Source organism: Homo sapiens, chromosome 13, assembly GCF_000001405.40.
Source record: "Homo sapiens chromosome 13, GRCh38.p14 Primary Assembly".
Classification (NCBI taxonomy): domain Eukaryota; kingdom Metazoa; phylum Chordata; class Mammalia; order Primates; family Hominidae; genus Homo; species Homo sapiens.
Genome location: NC_000013.11, coordinates 55,088,292 through 55,108,674, shown reverse-complemented (window position 1 = coordinate 55,108,674; position 20,383 = coordinate 55,088,292). Strand labels below are relative to the sequence as shown.

At 32.9% G+C, this 20,383-nt stretch overlaps 1 long non-coding RNA gene across 1 annotated transcript in view; it reads right to left on the bottom strand.

Annotated features, from left to right (window-relative positions):
• Positions 1-20,383, bottom strand: part of LINC02335 (long intergenic non-protein coding RNA 2335) — a 128,930-nt gene that overhangs the window by 74,062 nt on the left and 34,485 nt on the right. The window contains exon 3 of the long non-coding RNA NR_186625.1: positions 1,839-1,905. This is a non-coding gene — a long non-coding RNA (long intergenic non-protein coding RNA 2335). The remainder of the gene's footprint in view (positions 1-1,838; positions 1,906-20,383) is intronic.

The following is a 20,383-nucleotide window of genomic DNA, read 5'->3' as shown; positions in this document are numbered from 1 at the left end:
AATGGGATTGTTTTTCTTTTTCTTTTGAGACAGTCTTGCTCTGTCACCCAGGCTGGAGTGACGTGGCACGATCTCGGCTCACTGCAACCTCCGCCTCCTGGGTTCAAGCAATTCTCCTGCCTCAGCCTACGGAGTAGCTGGGATTACAGCCACACGCCACCATGCCCGGCTAACTTTTTGTACTTTTTTGGTAGAGACGGGGTTTCACCATGCTGGCCAGGTTGGTCTTGAGCTCCTGATCTTGTACAGATCTGCCCACCTCAGCCTCCCAAAATGCTGGGATTACAGGCGTAAGCCACCGTGCCCGGCCAGCACATGAAATTGTTTTATTGTCTCCTTTTTTAGCTAGTTCATCATTAATTACTAATTAACAATATTAATTCTTCCAACCCATTCTACATGTTGTCTCTTAATTCTGTTGAGTAGTTTCTTTGCTGTACAGAAGCTTTTTAGTTTAATATAGCTCCATTTGTCTATGTTTGTTTTTGTTACGTTCTTTTAAGTCTTAGTCATAAAACATTTGCCTACACCAATGTCCTGAAGCATTTTCCTGTGTTTTTTCTTTTTTTTTTTTTTTTCTGTTGGTTTTATAATTTGGGGTTAATCCATTTGAGGTTTATTTGTGTATATGGTTTGAGAAAGGGTTTAGCTTTATTGTTCTGCATATGCATGTCCAGTTTTCCCAGCACCATTTACTGAAGAGACTGTTCTTTCACCAATGTATGTTTCTGGCACCTTTGTTGAAAATCAATTGCCTGTTGAAAATCAATTGCCTGTAGACAGCAGTGGTGATGGCATCCCCTCTCCCTGGTAATATGGCAGGCTTAGGCCGATTCTAGCCAGTGGCTGGCTGTTGAGAATCCGTGCGGCTTTGTGTTTGGAAACCAAGACCCTAGCGTCATGGGCTCACGAGTGGGATCTTCCAATCCATGGGTTGTACAGTTCCATGAAAAAAGCATGGTTTCCCAGGCTGGATAGCACACTCACTCACCACCTCCCTTGGCTGGGGGTGGGGGCTTCCCTGCCCTGTGTGGCTCTTAGGTGGACCGTGGTCATGCCAGCTACCTAGTCAGTCCCAATGACAGAACCTGGATACCTCGAATGCTGGTGCAGGATTTGCACACTGTTTTGTATCTTTTTTTTGGGAGCTTCCAATCGCCCAGGTCTTAATTTTTCTACAAAGTACATTATATCTAAGTATTAACAAAGTTAAATAAGTCTTATTAAATTAAAATTGAATAACTTTTTTTAAAAAAGTAAATGGACCCCATAGAACAGTGAAACAGCTATCCCTAAACTGGTAGAAGCTACTTATTTAATAGATAACTGAAAAGTAATTAATAATCAACATTTTTAAAAATCTCCAGGGGAAAAGAAGAATAAGGGAAGTACCACAGTAGTAAAATGGGCAAAAAACCTCGATAGATACTTGTTAAAAAATTATACCCTTTTACATGACACAAAATGTAAAAATTTATGAAGTCAAGGAATAACAGGAATATAGAGCAATGTTTACATTTATCTAGTAATGTGAAAATTAGTGAGATCAATTTATTAAACAATTTGATTATGTAATAAAATCAACTATATACAAAACCTAAGACTCAAGAATTTCACTGTTACAGCCTCTTAACAATTCTTGAGAACATGAACTGTGATTTATGTCCAAGAATGTTTCTCTTCTGCTTCTAATTCATCCTCCATAAAAATGACAATTTCTAGTTAGTAAGACTCATGTCCTCTATAATCTCAGTGATGTCGACTATTGCCACATCAAGTGCCCTATTAGTTAGCTATATCCTCATTAAGAACTGTTTTCATGTTTGGCTCATGCTTACCCTTTTATGAGAAAATTATGCCTTTTAGATTCTTATCAGTCTTTCTCAGGAAGTAGACATTTTCTTTCTGTAAAGAAGAGATATCAAGGGGAGATCATCAGATACAGTGGTTAGAAGCCCAGGCTCTGGGCTCTTCTGTTCTTTTTGACAGCAGTTGTGTGATTTTGGGCAAAGAACTAAAGTCTTCCGAGTGCCTGTCTGTGCCATCTGAGAATAATGAACCAGTGCTAAGAAAGGAAGTATCATTGCATACTGAAGTCCCTGTCCCTCTAAGAACATATTCTGCTAACTCCTCAGTATATATGTAGAATTTCCTTCCATAAAAGAAATACTTTATTACAACATTTAAAGAATAGTGAACACATCTTAAATTAGGTATATATGCTATATCAAATATGCCTTTCTTTGAATTTTGAAATTAACTAATGGTGGAAAGTTAAAGTTATTATTTTCTTTGAAAGTAAAGTCTGTTTGTTGATGTTAATTTTCATACCTCTGAATTTCAAGACACATTAATTGGAATTATATTTTTAAAATTCATTGTTTCTTTGTTTTATAGCCAGGAACTATTAAATGTCAAGTCTTATTTAAAATTCTCACATAACAAATAAATATGATGTTCAAATGTAACAATAACTTTAATTGCAATTATGTTTTAATAATTAACACATGAAACCCCATTGTCTACATGACTTTCCAAAAGATCATTATTCAAGAGTAGTAAATTAAGCATTTTGTTACTCTGAAAAATGAAATCCTATTAAAAAGTCTTCTCTTACTAGTTATTAATAATTTTATAACATCAAGAGACATTCTGACTTTTTAGTTTATAAACAAGAAGAAGGGATTAATAAAACACAGAAACCACAAAATATATGATTATTTCCTAAAATGAGAGATGATATTGAATGTCAATATTTGTATAAAGTAAAATATGGAAAAGCACAACATCAAAAGACAATGGATTATAGCTAATGTAAGTCATTCATGCTACATATATAAAACCTGATTATATGTTGCAATAAATTTTTGTAGGAAATTATATTTTTATATTATTTAGTTTGTTTTATACAGAGCATTAAAACATTTTGTCTACAGGAAAATAAAGAATTTTTTATAAACCATCCAGAGTGTTCTGCAAAAGAGCCATTTTTTCTAAATAAAATTGTTATAAATGTATTTTTTAATTATTAAAATAATTTTCTAAATAATGATATACTGTAAGAACAACAAAGAGTTAATAATGTTGAGGTATAGAGTTTGAATATGTTTTAAATAAAATAAAGGGGCTTTCCAATATATAAATATAATGTTTTAATTTTATTGTTTTCAGTATTTGAATTTTGACCTATTTAGGTTTTTAATTCTAGCTTTTATTTTAATCTAAGAAAAATCATTCACATTACATATAAAATGTTCAATTCTTCCCAAGTGATATATAGTCATAAGAGAAATATAGATAGATGAATGGATGGATGGATGGATGGATGAATGGATGGATTAACAGATAGATAGATAGATAGATAGATAGATAGATACAGATTTGGTTACAGACATGCATGTTAAGAATGTACTATATGCCAACATTGTAAATTCAATTACAGTACATTTAAAAATACAAAAAATAAAATGTAACACTTTTTTTTCTATAATCAATTTGGCTCTCCTTTTGAGGTCCTCACCCTACTGAGCAGTATAAGAATAAAAAATTAATAAATTGAGATCAGTCCAACATTCACAGTTTATTTCAAAGATCTAAATTTTCTCTTTGGGTATTTCAGCCTGTTTTGTTTAAATATCCAGGCTTTCCTTCTCTTCCTCCCTGTTACTGATGTTTTCATGTATGAAGAAGGTCTTGCATGAGCTCGTAGGGGTGGTAAAGATATAACCTCCTATATTAAATCCATATTAGATGCTTATATTGCCCATGAACTTGTATGGTTTATCCAGCAATGGTCCTTTTCCACCTTCCACTGTTCATCTTTCTGGAACTTGGAGATTTAAGACTGTGTATCTGATTCTCATGGGTCTATTCCCTCTCAATTGAGTCATGCCCAACAATTTTCCCTGAAACTCCATGTCAGCTCCTGGAGTTCCCCACACCTCGGATATAATTCACATTTTTCTCCATCCAGTCGGCTTGCCCTTAAGTTCTATTACCACTGAGACACTTTGACACCTTCTGAAAAGATTATCAATCAAGCCCAACCAACTTTCACATAAACTCCCTAAGGGCCTATGGGAGTTCACACACCCAGAAACCAAGCATTGGCAGCTAGAGGAAAATAAAGACCTAAACATGCTCTTCTACTAGGTTTATTTTAATCGCAAGTTGGCATTTGTTCATTTCCTGTGTCTCAAACATTTTTCCTAGAATTACTCTCAATTTTTTAAACACTTCTCTCTAGGAAGTATACAGAATGAGAGGGCTGCAAAACATGTGTCTCAATATGTTCTTATTCTATTTCTATCTTTCAGATATACTCCATAATAAGCTGCACCAGAAAGGGCAGGTTATATACATATGCTGTGACATCAAATTTCACTAAAAGATTGAGTTCGGTCTCACTGAACAAAGCTTCAAGTCAGGCCTTTTTAGCGATAAAGAAATGGACAACACCATAACAAATAGAACATTATGCCACAGAGACAGTTAAAATTAAACTAGCAAGGTAGTACTTAGAAAAGTTTGTAAATTTGAAGTCTATTGACTACTTTGGGAAATTGCAGAAAATATACACTCTATGTTCCTTTTTTTTTTTTTTTTTTTTAAGACAGAGTATTGCTCTGTCGCCCTGGCTGCAGTGCAGTGGCGTGATCTCGGTTCGCTGCAACCTCCACCTCCCGGGTTCAAACGATTCTCTTGCCTCATCCTCCGGGATGGCTGGGACTATGGGTGCCCACCACAAAGCCCGGCTAATTTTTTGTATGTTTAGTAGAGACAGGGTTTCACCATGTTAGCCAGGATGGTTTTGATCTCCTGACCTTGTGATCTGCCCTCCTTGGCCTCCCAAAGTGCTGGGATTACAGGCGTGAGCCACTGTGCCCAGCCTACACTCTATGTTCTATAAAAAACTGTGTGATCGGGTCCACCAGACCTAATTATAATATGTTTACTAGCATTCAAGGAAGTTAGAAAATTTAGAAATTATTTTCTTTCCTAACAAAAACTGGATTTAAAACTACTGTTTCAATAAAGATGTACATTTCATGATTAAAATATGAATGCCTTATTTCACATCTGCTACATCAGATTTATTCAAAACTGCTCATTTCCCACATCCCCAGCAGGGCGGATGAATGTCTTAGAATGTCCACAGAGAAAGCCATATCTGAAAAGGAAAATGTAAATTAAAATAAATTGACTAAAAACATTACTTTATTACACTTTCAAAGTGATTTTCTATTAAGTCACCATTTACTTATTTTCCTCCACCATTCAAAGGTAAAACTGACAAATGGAGTTAGCATAATGGAAAAGCAAAACAATTGGTCATTACTAAAATCATGTAAAATTTGAATTTTAAAATTTTATCTTATGCACCTGGTGCTTCAGAGTAAGAATCAAACTAAATAGATATACATACTGAGCATTTTTTTCATATTTAAGCTGAATATATTGCTATTCATAATAGAAGTAGTCTTCAAGGGAGCTAAAGTTAAAGAATATTTGAATTTATCTTTTTACTGCTTTACTATAAATATCTACTGCTATTCCATTCCTATTGATTGATTTTTTCTAGCATCGTCTCCATTTAACATACATGTCTGTTCATTTTGTGCAAAGCTTTTTGTTTAAGTAGAAGAGACATTTTTCGTATTTCTAGAGAGAAAAAGTAAAGAAGAGAGTATTCAAAATTTAAAAATAAGTTTAATGTTTCATTTGCCATAATGACAGGCAGGCATTATATTGTCAGAAATTAAATGATTATTTTTTCTTTATTCCAAATTATTCCAAATTGTTAATTGAGTTAATCAGTGAACATATGCTTTCACAAATGCATAATGTCATATATACACATAACACATACACATACAAACACAAAAGTTGAACTTTTTATTCTTTTTTTGTAATACTTAAAGCATTCTTCTCTTTAACAGAGTTGTCTCCCTATGTTTCCCTTTTCTTTAAGTCTATAAAGTACATGAATACATGATCTTTTTGCTGATTTTATCCACATAACCCCCAAAGTACTTAAAATACTATCTTGTGTATATATTTTCTTCTTAAAAATAAATTTTAAAAGTAATATGACTAAATTCAAAATAGAAACAATAAAATACACTATAATTTAGTGCAATATAATGTAATATAATACTAAATATAATATAAATAAAAATTTTAGGTCAGGAACCAAAGTCTAATAATTAATTTGTTCACTTAGGGAATGTTTACATATTTCTAGTTTTAGTCTCCTGTTCTAAATTTATGGTGAGTTATTTTAATCTTTATTTTCAAATTCTTCAAGAACATAAAATTGTCTATGTAGTAATAATATCTTTAGTTATAACATTCTAAAATTCTATGAGTTTCTAAAATAATAAAATGGCAGTGGAGGCAAATAAATACCCAAAGGAAGGAAGAGATAGTGACAAAACCTTAAATGTATACAGAAAAATGGAGGCCTTTTTTTAATATGGGAGAAAAGTGAGAAAGACTACAGTCATAGAAACAAAAAGGCAAATATTTATGAAATAAAAAGTGTGGATTTACAAATATTTATTTTAAAGTATTAAAAGTATATCGAGCCAAAGATGTTTGGTTAGTAGCAGTTAAAAATACATATCTAATCCAGTGTTTCTCAAAGCAAGAACAGCATCTGTTACCAAGCAACTTTGTTAAAAATGAAGATTTCTGGTTTGCACCACTGAACAGGAATCCTTTAGCATGGGACTTGGAAGTATGCATCTGAAGCATACACCCTAGGTGATTCTGATGCATGTTAAGCTTTGAGATTCATTGGGAGTGTACATTTGGAAGTGATTCCATGAGCAATTACTTGCTGATTGCCTATTATAACAGTGGCAGCCACTGTTATTGGAAAACATGAGTGGAGGAAAAAAAACAAGTGCCCTGGTGAAGCTTACATTCTAAAAGGAAAGAATCATATGCAGAAAGAAAACAGATAAAGCTATAACGTGCTTAACATCATCAAGACAGAATCAGTTAGGCAAGATGGTAGAAAAGAGAAGCCAGGGAAACGTTAACCTGCAGCATGTTGGAATCAAAGTACTAAGCAAAAATAGAGAAGGATAATCAGAGAGCAAGAGGAATGCAAAAAGAGGACAATTCCATAAAATTAAAAGGAGGGAAAAATAAGAAGAAAAAAAAAGGGAGGGGCGGGGATGTGTAGGTCAAACTTTCTAAAAACTATAGGCTGGGCATAGTGGCTCACGCCTGTAATCCCAGAACTTTGGGAGGCCGAGGCGGGCGGACCACCTGAGGTCAGGAGTTCGAGACCAGCCTGGCCAACATGGTGAAACCCCGTCTCTACTAAAAATACCAAAAATTAGCCAGGCATAGTGGCAGGCGCCTATAATCCCAGCTACTCAGGAGGCTGAGATAGGAGAATAGCTTGAACTGGGGAGGCAAAGGTTGCAGTGAGCCGAGATCGCGTTGTTGCATTCCAACCTGGGCAACAAGAGCGAAACTCCGTCTCAGAAAAAAAAAAAAAAAGGTTGATATGGCTAAGAGGAAAGAGACACTGACTTTTGGAATAAATCGAACATAATAAAAATGACACGGTAAATAAAAATAAACAGATCTTTAAAATTTCTGTGTGCAGACTTTTGTGTGAGTTTTCAACTCATTTTGAGCGCAAATGCTGGATCGTATGGTGAGAGTATGTATAATTTTGCAAGAAACTGCCCAATTGTTTTTCCGAGTACCTGGATCATCTTGCATTTCCACCAGCAATGAATTAATTCCTATTGCTCCACATTATTCCCAGGAATTGACGCTGTTAAGTGCTCTGGATTTGGCCATTTTAACAGGCGTATAGGTTCTCTTTCTTTTAATTTATATTTCTCTATATAATGTGAAGCATCTTTTCATACACAAATATTTTAAAATACAATTTTTAAAATAATTAGATATCAATAGGTCAGGAATTCTCTTGCTATACGTGAACTTCTTGTTCTTCATGCAATTAGTTGATGATCTCATTATTCTAAATTGATGAAACAAAATCTGTAATTCTAAATTCATCTTTCCCATTCCCTCCTTATAGCTAGTCTTGTCTGCCTATATTTTTATGTTTTATCTAAAATGCAATTAGAAATAAATTTGAATAACATGAGCTTGATAAGATAGACCCTTTTTCAAGCCTTATTCTAGTTTCTGCTAAGATTAGATATATGTAAATTTTGAATAAAATAATACACTTGCTTTTTTGATTTCTTACTCCTCAGTTTTAAAGATTTGTATATTTGTGATACAAGTCCTATATCAGAAATGTTTGCCAACATGTTATCTCATTCTGTGGCTAGCTTTTAGTGTTGTTGTTCATTTTATAACAGTGTCTCTTCAACAAGTTTTAAATTTTAATACAGTCTAACTCAGAAATTTTTTTCTTTCATGAATCATGATATAATTTCTATATTGTATCTAAAAACTCATCACTAACCCAAGGCCTTATAGATTTTTCTTATGTTTACTTCTACAAGTTTCATAGTTGTGTATTTCATATTTAGGTCTACAATTCATTTTGAGTTAATTTTTGTGGTAAATGTAAAATTTGTGTCTAAATTAATTTTTTGTGCATTTGGTTATCCAGTGTCCTAGCTTCATTGATTGGGAAGATTTTACCACTTGGTAAAAACTCCACTGACTATATTTGCATAATTCTATTCCTAGGCTCTCCATATTTTATCAGTGATCCATATTTCTCTTCTTCCACCACTATCACACTGTCTGGATTACTATAACTTCATATATCTCTTCTTTCATTAATACCACACTGTCTGGATTACAATAGCTTCATAATTGCCAAAAGCAGGTAGTGGGAATCCTCCAACATTTTTCTTCTCTTCAGTATTTTTTTTAAAGTGAAAGCGAAGGGATAAGGGAAAAGGGGGAGGGGAAGATGCCTTCTCTTCAGTATTTTGTTGGCTATTCTAGGTCTTTCACCTTGACAAACTTTAGAATTTGCAAATATCTACAAAATAGCTTGCAAGGTTTTTATTTGGGATTAAATTAAATCTGAATGTCAAGTTGAGAAGAATTGACAGCTTCACAATAGATTAGTCTTTCAATACATATTATAAATATGCCTGTGTTTATATCTTCTTGTACTTTTGTCACACAATATTTGTAGTTTTTGATACATGTAGAACTTTTATATATTTTATTAAATTGTTACTTAAGTGTTTCATGTTTGGAAGCTATTAATTTCTTTTAATTTCTACTTTCAATTGTTCATTTCTGTTGTAGAGAATAACAGTTTATTTTTGTACATTAACACAGTATCCTATGACCTTAAAGTGCTCATCTATTAATGTCAATTTGTTCTATTCCTTTGATTTTCTTTGTTTATAATTTTTATTTATTTCATTTCAACACTTATTTTAGATATGGGGGTCCATGTGCAGGTTTGTTACATGAGTATGATTTTCTATTTTGATAGTCATGTAATCTGCAAACAAAGACAGTTTATTTCATCCTTTTCGAACTCTATTTTTAGTTACTTTTTTTATTTTTACTGCATAGCCTAGAATTTTTAGTATGATGATGAGTAGACAAAATCTTGGCTTTTTCCTGATCTTAATGAGAAAATATCTAGTTTCTTACCATTAATGTTAAATGTAGGTTATTCGTAGATGTTCTTTATCAAGTTAAAGTTCCCATCTACTCTTACTTTGTTGAGAATTTTATCATATATTATTGTAAAATTTTGTCAAATTCTTTTTTGCATGAATTGATGTGATAGTATAATTTTTCCTTTTAAGCATACTGATGTGGGGGATTACATTGGTTGAATTTAAGGTTTAATAAAATTTAAGATATTTTTCATATTTAACCAGCCTTGCATACCTGGAATAAATGCATATTGATTATTGTGTTCGATTCCAATGTAGGCTTAGGCTCAATTTTCTAATATTTTGTTCAAGATTTTTGCATCTACATTAACGAGAGACATTACCATGATCTTTTTTTTCTCGTAATGACTTTTTCTGATTTGAATATTTGGGTGATAAAATATCCTAAAATCAGAGAATTTTTCCCTTTGCTTCATTATCTAGAAAATATTCTAGAGAATTGATATTATTTTTATCTTAATTGTTTTGTAGAATTCAGTAGTGAAGTCATCTGGGTCTTGAACTTTTGGGGAGAAGTTTATTAGTTATTGATTTAAAAATATAGCTTTTGTTTTTTTATTTCTTTTTCTCTATTGTTTTCCTATTTGCAATGTTATTAATTTCTGCTCTAATATTTATTTTTTCCTGCATGCTGTAGACTTAAATTTCTCTTATTTCTCTAGTTTTCTAAGGTAAGCGTACAAATTATTGATTTTTAATTTTTCTTTTCTTACATATACATTTTATGCCTCTATTTTCTCTCTACGCACTGTTTTTGTTGCATCCCACAAATTTTGATACATTTTCTTTAACTTCAAGACATTTTAAAATTTATCTTGAGAATTTTTTGATCCAGATGTTATTTAGAAATGTTTTATTTAATTTCCAAACATTAGGGCATTGTCCAGCTCTATTCCTTTTATTTATATCTTGTTAATTGTATTGCTATCTGGAAATCTGTCTTTTATGATTTCTGCTTTTTGAAACTTGTTAAGGTATGTTTTTCTGGCCCAGAATGTAGTCTAAATCTTGCATACAAGCTTAAGAATATGTACTCTGATGTCATTGGATGTGGTATAATGTCAATTAGATGAAATTAATTAATGGTGTTTTTCATTCAATTATATTCTATTCTTATTGTTTTTTTTACTTCCTTGATTTATCAATTTTTAAAAGAAAAATTGTTAAAGTTACCAACTATAATGGTAGTATTGTCTATTTCTGTTTGAATTTCTATTTATAAATTGCCATTTATAATTTAATGTCTTGCTATTAGGCGCATACATATTAAAGATTGTCATGATACCTTAGAGAATTGACCCTTTTGTCATTATTTTATAATACCTTTTAAACTGATAATTTTTTCCATTCCTCGTTTGAATAGGATATTTTTTCAATGTTCTGCAGTATGCATTGTCTGAAATTAATAGAGCTACTCTGGGTCTCTTCTGATTTGTATTGAAGTTGTATCTTTCTCTAAACCGTTACTTTTAAGCTGCGTTGATATTTAATGTAGATTTCCTTTAGACAACATATAATAGAGACTTTTTTTATTATTCTGAAAAACTTTCTCTTTTAGTTGGTATATTTTCATGATTCCTATTTAAAGTGATAATTGATATAGTTGGATTAATACCTTTCATATTTGTAACAGTTTTCTATTCATTGAATGTGTTCTGTGCTTCATTTTAATTCCTAGTATTTTTCTTTCTTCTCTGGTTTTAACTGAGAATTTTATGATTTGCTTTTAACTTTTGCCTTAGCATATCAATGAGTTATTTTTAAATTTATTTTCCTGTTTGCCCTATATAGCTTGCAATATACAATTTTAACTAATTTATGTCTATCTTCAGATAATACTATTCACTTTATGAGTAGTGCAGGTATCTTTTAACAGAGTAGTTCCAATTCCTTCCTACCATCATTTATGACATTCCTGTCATTCATCTAAATTATCCATATGCTATAATCTTCCAGTATATTATTATATAATATCAATTATATAATATCAATTAAAGGAACAGTATTATTCTTAAGTTAATTAGGAATTTTAAATAATTATTTGCCTTCATTTACTTCTCCAATGTTCTCTTCCCCTTTTCCTTTCTCGCTTTCTCTCTCTCTTTCTCTCTCTCTCTCTCTAATGTACATCCAAGAACTACGTAATTTTCCTCTGCCTAAAGAAAAGTATTTAAAATTCTTAACAGGAAGGTCTATTGATAAATTTCCACCATTATGGCTTATCTGAGAAAATTCATTTCTTGTTCATGAGTAAACAAGGATAATTTCACTGGATTTATTATTCTACATTGATGTTATTTTTTTCATTCAGCATTTAAAATATTTCACTGAACTGTCTTATTACTGCATGGATTCTGACATAAAGTTCACAATAATTCTTACTCTTGTTACTGTTCAGGTAATCCTCCTTACCCCACAGCTTCTTTTGAGATGTACTGTTGGTCTTTCATTTTCTTCAGTTTGAAAATGATATGCCTAGGAGTATATTTTTTGTTATTTATCCTGCTTTGGGTTTGCTGAGTTTCTTGGATCTATGTTTTAATTTCTGTCATTAATTTTCAAAAGTTTTCAGCCATTATTACTATACATATTATTTCTTTTTCTGTATTACTTTTTTCTCCTTCAGGTATCCCCATCGCATGTATGCTATACCTTTTGAAACTATACCGCTGTTCTTGGTACTTGGATATTCTGTTCAGAATTCTACCTTATATTTTCTACCTGCAATTCCATTTGCAAAATTTCAATCTTATCTTCCAGCTCACAAATTCTTGCCTTATCTATTTCCAGTCTACTGATAAATCTATTATAGGCATTTTTCATTTCTCTTCGTGTTTTTCATTCTTCGTGTATTTCACTTTTGATTCTTTTTAAGATTTTTCACTTCTCTACTTACATTATTTGTTTGTTCTTGCCTACTGTCTACTTATGTGCCATTAGAGTTTTTAACATATTAATCATAGTTATTTCAGCTTCCTGTCAATTTTAAAATCTGTAGAATATCTAAGGCTAATTCTGATGCCTGTCTTGTCCCTTCAAACTGTATGTCATTTCCTTGTCTTTTAGATGCTTTGCAAGTATTTGTAATAATTATACTAACAATTATAATAATTATTATTATGTATTAAATAGTGCAAAATGAGTTAGCAGGTTCTTTAGTGTGAGGTTTAGGTTGTTCTGAGTAAGCATTCTGCTATGATTAATTCTTCCTATAACTGTAGGAGTCAGAGGTATCTGATGCTGCTGGAATCCTTGTTTTTGCCTCCACTGTTACTGTAGGTTTCCCTAAGAACTCTTAGATTGAGTCTGATTCTTCCGGTTCTTTTAGTTGTAGTCCATTGTTTTTATACAGGAACTCTATTGATATGGGGCTAAAATATTGGAGAAGTGAAGCATTATATAATCTTATGATTTAGTGTTAATTGTTTAGTGATCCTGTGCCCCTCAACTATGACCTGAACAATTTTTTTGTTTGTTACCCAAATCGCTCCAGTCTCCTTAGGTTGAAGTAAGCTAGAGAGGGCTAGGGTCAAAGAAATCACTTTCATCCAAGTATGTTAAGGACCAGGTAGAGCCTTTTTCCCTGGACAGTAGGTCTTTGTTTTGAAGAACATTATATGTGTATTTCACAATGATACCTTTTCCACTTGCCTTGCAAGAGCCAAGATGGGATCTTTGTCCAATTTGCACTTGAACATGGTGGGGTTCCTGGAGGTTAAACCTACAAAAGTGTGGACTCTCCCCAACTTTTTCCTCCCTACAGTAGTTTTTTACTCTCATACTAGTCTACATTCAGCCTCCAGCAATTTGTCAACAATATCATTTAATTGTTCCTAGCAGTTAATGGCTCCAGCAGTTCCTGCTCCAAGTAACCTGATCTGAATTGTCACTCTGTGAATTTGCCTGTCTCTTCAGATTCTCAGGTGGTGATTTGCCCTGAAATCTCAGTTATTTTCTTTAATGGATCCAAGAAAATTCATTTCCAGTGTATTCATCATTTTTTCTTATTGAAAGAATGGGAGAGCTCACTTCCAAGCATTTTACATGTTGGAGCTAAAACAGAAAGTCCTGAATTGCTTTTTAAATGGTATTTAAATATTACATACAAGTATTTAAAAAAATATTTTTTACTCATGATCATGTAATTCAGGTTTTACCAAAGAAAAAAGGACTAGGGTGATTAGTTCATTTCTGTAATGTTTAAAATTAGATATTAATTTATTTGCTGACTTATACCTTATTTCTTTAAAATCTTTTATTACAACAATGCTCCAATGCTTTATTGTTCTTATAAATGTTTTATAAAGGATTTAGTCATTTTTAAAGTACGTTCATATTTGACATCTTGAAGCAATTTTGCCACTTGGAAAAAAGTAAATTTGGAGAAAAAACAAAAACAATCATACAAAAATGCTTCTAGCAAGGATTGTACTATTTCTGCTTATTCAGATATTTTACAAATAAAATGCAATAATTGAGAAAAACACGTTGAGTAATATCTGCTTTCTTCAACTTGTATAGCATGAAACAGAGGACTTGCTAGAGTATTTTTCATTGTTTCCACTGTGTGTGAATTACCCTGAATATCCAATACATTTTATTCTACAGTCTCTCATTAAGACCAAAACTGTGAAAGTTTGTGGGCCATCATTTTCTATGCAACATTTAATATGCAAACTAATTTTGAAAGGCAAAAGACACCTGCACACAGATTTCAAAGAAATTTGCATAATAAATATAGTACAGACTCAAAGCTTGCCTTGCAGAGGACAATGACAGATGTGAAAGCAGTTTTGTGTGAGAGTCCTGCATAACAAAATTTGCTTTAGAGTTGAATTTCAGAGTCAGGGTAGGACAAGCAATCTATTATAGGATAAATATTTCATGTAAGGAAACATTCTATATTAAAGCATCCAAGGATTATTCTCTATACAAACTGTGGTGGTGGGAGGTTTTTTATTTTATCAAAAATATCTTAGAATTTCTTCTTGAATACTGAGGGGGGCTAAAATTTGAAGATAAGAGCCTGTAACCTCTTTTCAACCTGAGAAGAGAAAGATTACTAAATTCTGATATTGTTCCTTTTTTCATTTAGTTTATTTATTATGCTTACTGTTAGTATTTTTTTCTGAAAATTGTATCAATCTTTTTTTGTCTATATGATTGTGATGGTTTTAAATATTAATGAGTGAATAACAAAATAACTCTGATCTATAGGAAAATAATCCTGTCTAGAAATATATCTACCAACTTTTTTTCCCCACACTGTGAAAATGCACAAAACTAATTGACTAACAAAGTTAACTTTCTAGTATAGCCCAGAGGAAAACTCCTTTCTCTCAAAAGTGATTTGTAAAGTGATTAATTTGTGATCAGAGATGTATTAGCCTCATTGTTATAGTCATTGAACACCAGAAGTAAAGAATAAACAATGTCCGGCATCTACCTAATGGTTGTTCCAGGTAAATTATAAGCCAGAGGAACTGTGGACAAATCATTTGCTTTTCCAGGCTAATGCCCATACATGTTGTAATTTAGTGATGCCTTACAAGTTGAAATCTTTATTATACACAAAAAAGAGAACTCTTTCCTCATGCCCAGTGATTCCCTCAGCTGGTCACCTTTGTATTTTTTCTTCTAGAACCCCAGAAAGAGTCTTAAATATATTAAGTATTTAATCATCAATGATGGGACTTTTAAAATATGGAATGTTTGACTGTAAAGACAGATTTTACTGGTTAAAAAGACTATTTTATAATCTAGATAAGAAACATTAATCAATTAAGTATAAGCTGGTAACACAGTATATCAGTAAAAATTAGTTTAGCTGATAATTACAGAGACAAAAAATGCAACAGCTTAAACAAGATAGAAGTTGATTCTTCTCTGAGATCAATGTCATTATGTAAGCAGCAATGGTACAATATCCTTGGAAATCCTGACTCCTTTCACTTAATCAATCTGCCACCTTTAGGATTTGAAAGATAACTTGGTGGGATTCATATCCAAGTAAAGAGGATGAAAGCAGAAACAAATAAGTGTGGGCTCAGCTTAGGCTCCAACTATCTCTTACGGATCATTCATGGAAATTACCATATCACTTTTCACTTATATTTAACTTGAATTAACTTTCGTCAAATGATCACACTTAGCTTCAAGGATGATAGAGTAATGTAGTCTCTGTTTTGAACTGTTGCTGATCACCTAAAAATTGAGGTAAAATTACTAAGGACGAAAGGAGAAGAAATATTACAGATAATCCTCCATCCCTTATCCCTGCACTTACACTAATGTGTTACTAAATGAAAAATATATACATGAACATAAATATTTTCAAGCAAAAAGAACAGCATAAAGGATTAAATCCATTAATAATTTCTCATAATTTGTCTTCAGAACTTCTGCAAAAAGTATTCATCTCTCTTTCTCATTACTACTCATTTACCTTGCTCTTCAAGTTATTTAACTTTTATGTAACAAGACCGCTTTCCATAAAAATTGTGCAGATCACAAAGTTGACTGATCACAACCCTGTTGGTTTTTGTATTCTCAGGACATCTAACATAAACCTAAGCACACAGTTGTCATTCAGTACATATACACATAACAATAATTAGAAGTATATGTATGTATACAAATATACATATATGACATAACATTAAGCATATACTAATAAGTAACACATTTAAAGTGATATATACAGATTGGCATTTTAGTTCATTTGATGAAGTATATATAAATTAACTTTGATCATGATTTGTGTAATATAGTTAGTATGACCTTTTTTTTTTTTTTTTTGAGATGGAGTTTCACTCTTGTTGCTCAGGCTGGAGTGCAATGGCATGATCTCGGGGCACTGCAACCTCCACCTCCCAGGTTCAAGTGATTCTCCTGCCTCAGTCTCCCAAGCAGCTAGGATTATAGCCATGTGCCATTACGCCCAGCTAATTTTGTATTTTTAGTAGAGATGGGGTTTCTCCACGTTGGTCAGGCTGGTCTCAAACTCTTGACCTCAGGTGATTCACCTGCCTTGGCCTCCCAAAATGCTGGGATTACAGGCCTGAGCCATCGTGCCCGGCCTAGTATGACCTTTTAAACTACTCCTTGGTTGGCAGAATTAATAAAACAAACAAATAAATTATACATATATGACTTCTACTTCTGATCAAAATGAAAAAGACAGGACCCAGATTTACTTTTCCAGATAAAACAATGAAAAAAAATAGCCAAATATATAAAACAAGGGTTTGCAGGATACTGAACATAAGGCTTTGAAACGCACTGGTTCTTGAGAAGTAAAAACCAAAGGAAATGAGCACTGTGATGAACCAAGCCACAGACTTGAAAGAACTTCCAAGCCACATGGCAAGGAGGAAAGGCATAGACCAGTGGACTCCCTAAGTTGAGGAGACAAACTGCGGATGCAGGAATAACAAGAGATCTAGAATTTGCAGAACTGAGTATAACAAATGAGAGACTAGGAAGGAGAAAAATCTCCAAAGATTTTCAGAAGATCCCTCTTAAGTATTCAGATGAATACCAATGAGCTCATGAGCATGAGGAAACAATCCAAGGCCAAGGAAAGAAACAATTATAAAGACTAAAGCTAACAGTGTACAGCACTCACACGGAGCTGGAAATCATGCTTGTTCCCATCAGTCAGCCTGTAAAATCTCATTATTCATGGGACACTGGGTAGAGTAAACAGAAAACTTCTGCCTCAGTAGTGAGATATAATTTGTTTTAGACAGAACACTGCTTCATTCCAATAGAAAAAAATAAAAGCAACACCTGAAAGGAGAAAAGATGTTTCCAAGTCAAGTATTTTATCTCACAATAAATTTCAAGAATATACGTAAGATTGTAAAACGTCCATATCCAGAACCCAACAAGGTAAAATTCACAGCATCTGGGATCCAATAGAAAATTAACAGTCATGAAAAGAAATGGGAAACTACAACCCAATGAGGAGATAATCAATTGAAACTTCCCAAGAATTAACACAGATGTTAGAATTATCATACAAAGCAATTAAAAATGTATTATAATTGTGTTCCATATGTTGAAAAGCTATTTAGAAACATGGAAGATATAAAAACAGAATGAAACCAAACTTCTAGATATGAAAAATGCACTATCTGAAGTGAAATATATGATTTGTATTAATAGCAGACTAGAAATTGCAGAAGAAAATATTAATAAATTTGATGACATAGCATTAAAACCTATGCAAAAGGAAAAATAAAAAGAAAAAATACTTTTTAAAAATTTGAAAACAGCATCAGTGTGCCATGAAAAAAAATACAATAGTCTAATGTATGTAGAATATCCCAAAGGAAAGAAGAAAGCATAGAGTGACTACACTATCTAGTCTTGCCAAGAATGGAATTTCCATTGATGTGGGACTTCTAGGTTCAAAACCAGAAAAGTCTTAGTAAAATTGTGATTTATTAGTCATCATAGCAGAGAGTGATGTGGTAGAGAATGCAAACTTTTTTTTAAGAAAATACTTGCTGGAAAATTGCCACATTAAATGACAAGTATTACCTCAGAGATTCAAAAATATTGAAAAACTCTGAGAACAAGAAATGAAAGAAAAAAATTAATTCAAATCATAAATTACTTAAAACCAATGATTTAAAAATGATTTTAATTTACATTAAAATCTAAATGCAGCCAGGTGATAGAAGATGCATTGTGTGCAAAGGAGAAAAGTTTAGAAAGGCAGAAGATTTGGACCAGGTGTGGTGGCTCACGCCTGTAATCCCAGCACTTTGGGAGGCCGACGTGGGAGGATCACGAGGTCAGAAGACCGAGACCATCCTGGCTAACACAGTGAAACCCCATCTCTACTAAAAATAAAAAAGATTAGCCAGGCGTGGTGGCGGGCACCTGTAGTCCCATGTACTCGGGAGGCTGAGGCAGAAGTGTAAACCAAGGAAGCGGAGCTTCCAGTGAGCAGAGATCGTGCCACTGCACTCCAGCCTGGGTGACAGAGCAACAGAGAGAGACTGTGTCTCAAAAAAAAAAAAAAAAAAAAAAAGAAAGGTAGCAGATTTGTTGTAAAATACAATATAAGCAAGAAAACAGCACAGCAATTAAAAAAATTAAAAAATAAAATAAAAACACTATAGCGTTCTCTACTCACCTGTCTTAGTCCATTTGTGTTGCTATAAAGAAATACCTATTGGGAGGCTGAGCCGGGTGGATCACTTGAGGTCAGGAGTTCAAGACCAGCTGGTCAACATGGTGAAACCCTGTCTCTACTAAAAATGCAAAAAAAAAAAAAAAAAAAATAGCCCCAGGCATGGTGGCCTGTACCTATAGTCCCAGCTACTCAGGAAGCTTAGACCAGAGAATCACTTGAACCTGGCAGGTGGAGCTTGCAGTGAGTAGAGATAGCACCACTCCACTCCAGGTTGGGTGACAGAGGGAGACTCTGTCAAAAAAAAAAACAAGAAATACCCAAAACTGGGTAATTTATTTAAAAAAATAAATAAATAAAAATTGTCTCACAGTTCTACATGCTATACAAAAATATTTCCAATATTTGCTTCTGAGGGGGGACTCAGAAGTCTCTTACTCATGACAGAAGGTGAAGGGTTGCTGGCATGTGCAGACATTACATGGTAACCAAGGAAGCAAGAGGCAGGGGGGAAGGTACCAGGCTCTTTTTAACAACTCACTCATGGGGGAACATCTGTGGGAACTAATAATGCCAGAACTCACTGATTACTGCCAGGACAACACCAAGCCACTCATGAGGGATCCACTCCCATGACCCAACACTTCTCATTAGGCCACAACCTCAACATAGTGGATCAACTTCCAACATAATGTTTGGAGGGCCAAATACCCACACCGTAACACTAGCCAAATGTCTCTCTTTCAAATATGAAGGCAAAATAAAAACTTACTCATATGTTTAAAAAAATTAAAATAAGTCATCAATATCAGACACATACTACAAGAAATGTTAAAGGAAGTTCTTCAGGCAGAAGGAAAATTATATCAGATAGAATGTGCATCTGCACAATGAAATGATGAACATAGAAAACAATAACTGCATGAGCTAATATATAAGATTATTTTCTTACTATTTAAACCACTTTTTATTTTAAATGACGGTTTAAACAAAAATAACAACACTTTAGAATGGATTTATTATACATGTGTAAATAAACTATATGACAACAATAGCACAAATGTTAGAAAACAAATGAAAGTACAATGTTTTAAAGTTCTTATATTGTGAGAAGTAGCATAATAACACTTGAAAGAAGATGCCAGTAAGTTAAAGTTCTGTACTATAAAACCTCAAGAAACCACTAACAAAAAAAATACAAGAGTTTTATCTATAAGGCCAAAAAGGGGAATAAAATGCAATTATTAAAAAATAGTTAATCAAAAAGAAGACAGAGAAAGGAGAAAGGGTTTGGAAAAAGAGTAGATAAAACAAGCAGAAAAAAAAACGAACTGAAAACTTTAAATCCAACCATATCAATAATCAATGTTACATGGAAATGATTTAAAATTATACAGAAAGTTCATATTGTTGTTATACATAAAGTAATAGAACAGTTATCTTTTGCTCAGCTGCTTAACCCAGCCCAATATATAGCATCTTATAAATTCTGAAACAGCAGTGGCATCTAGATTCAGGGCTGATTAATTCTTTAATGATGCCTCTTACTCTCCTTTTGTATTTCCCCCCATAAATAAAAATG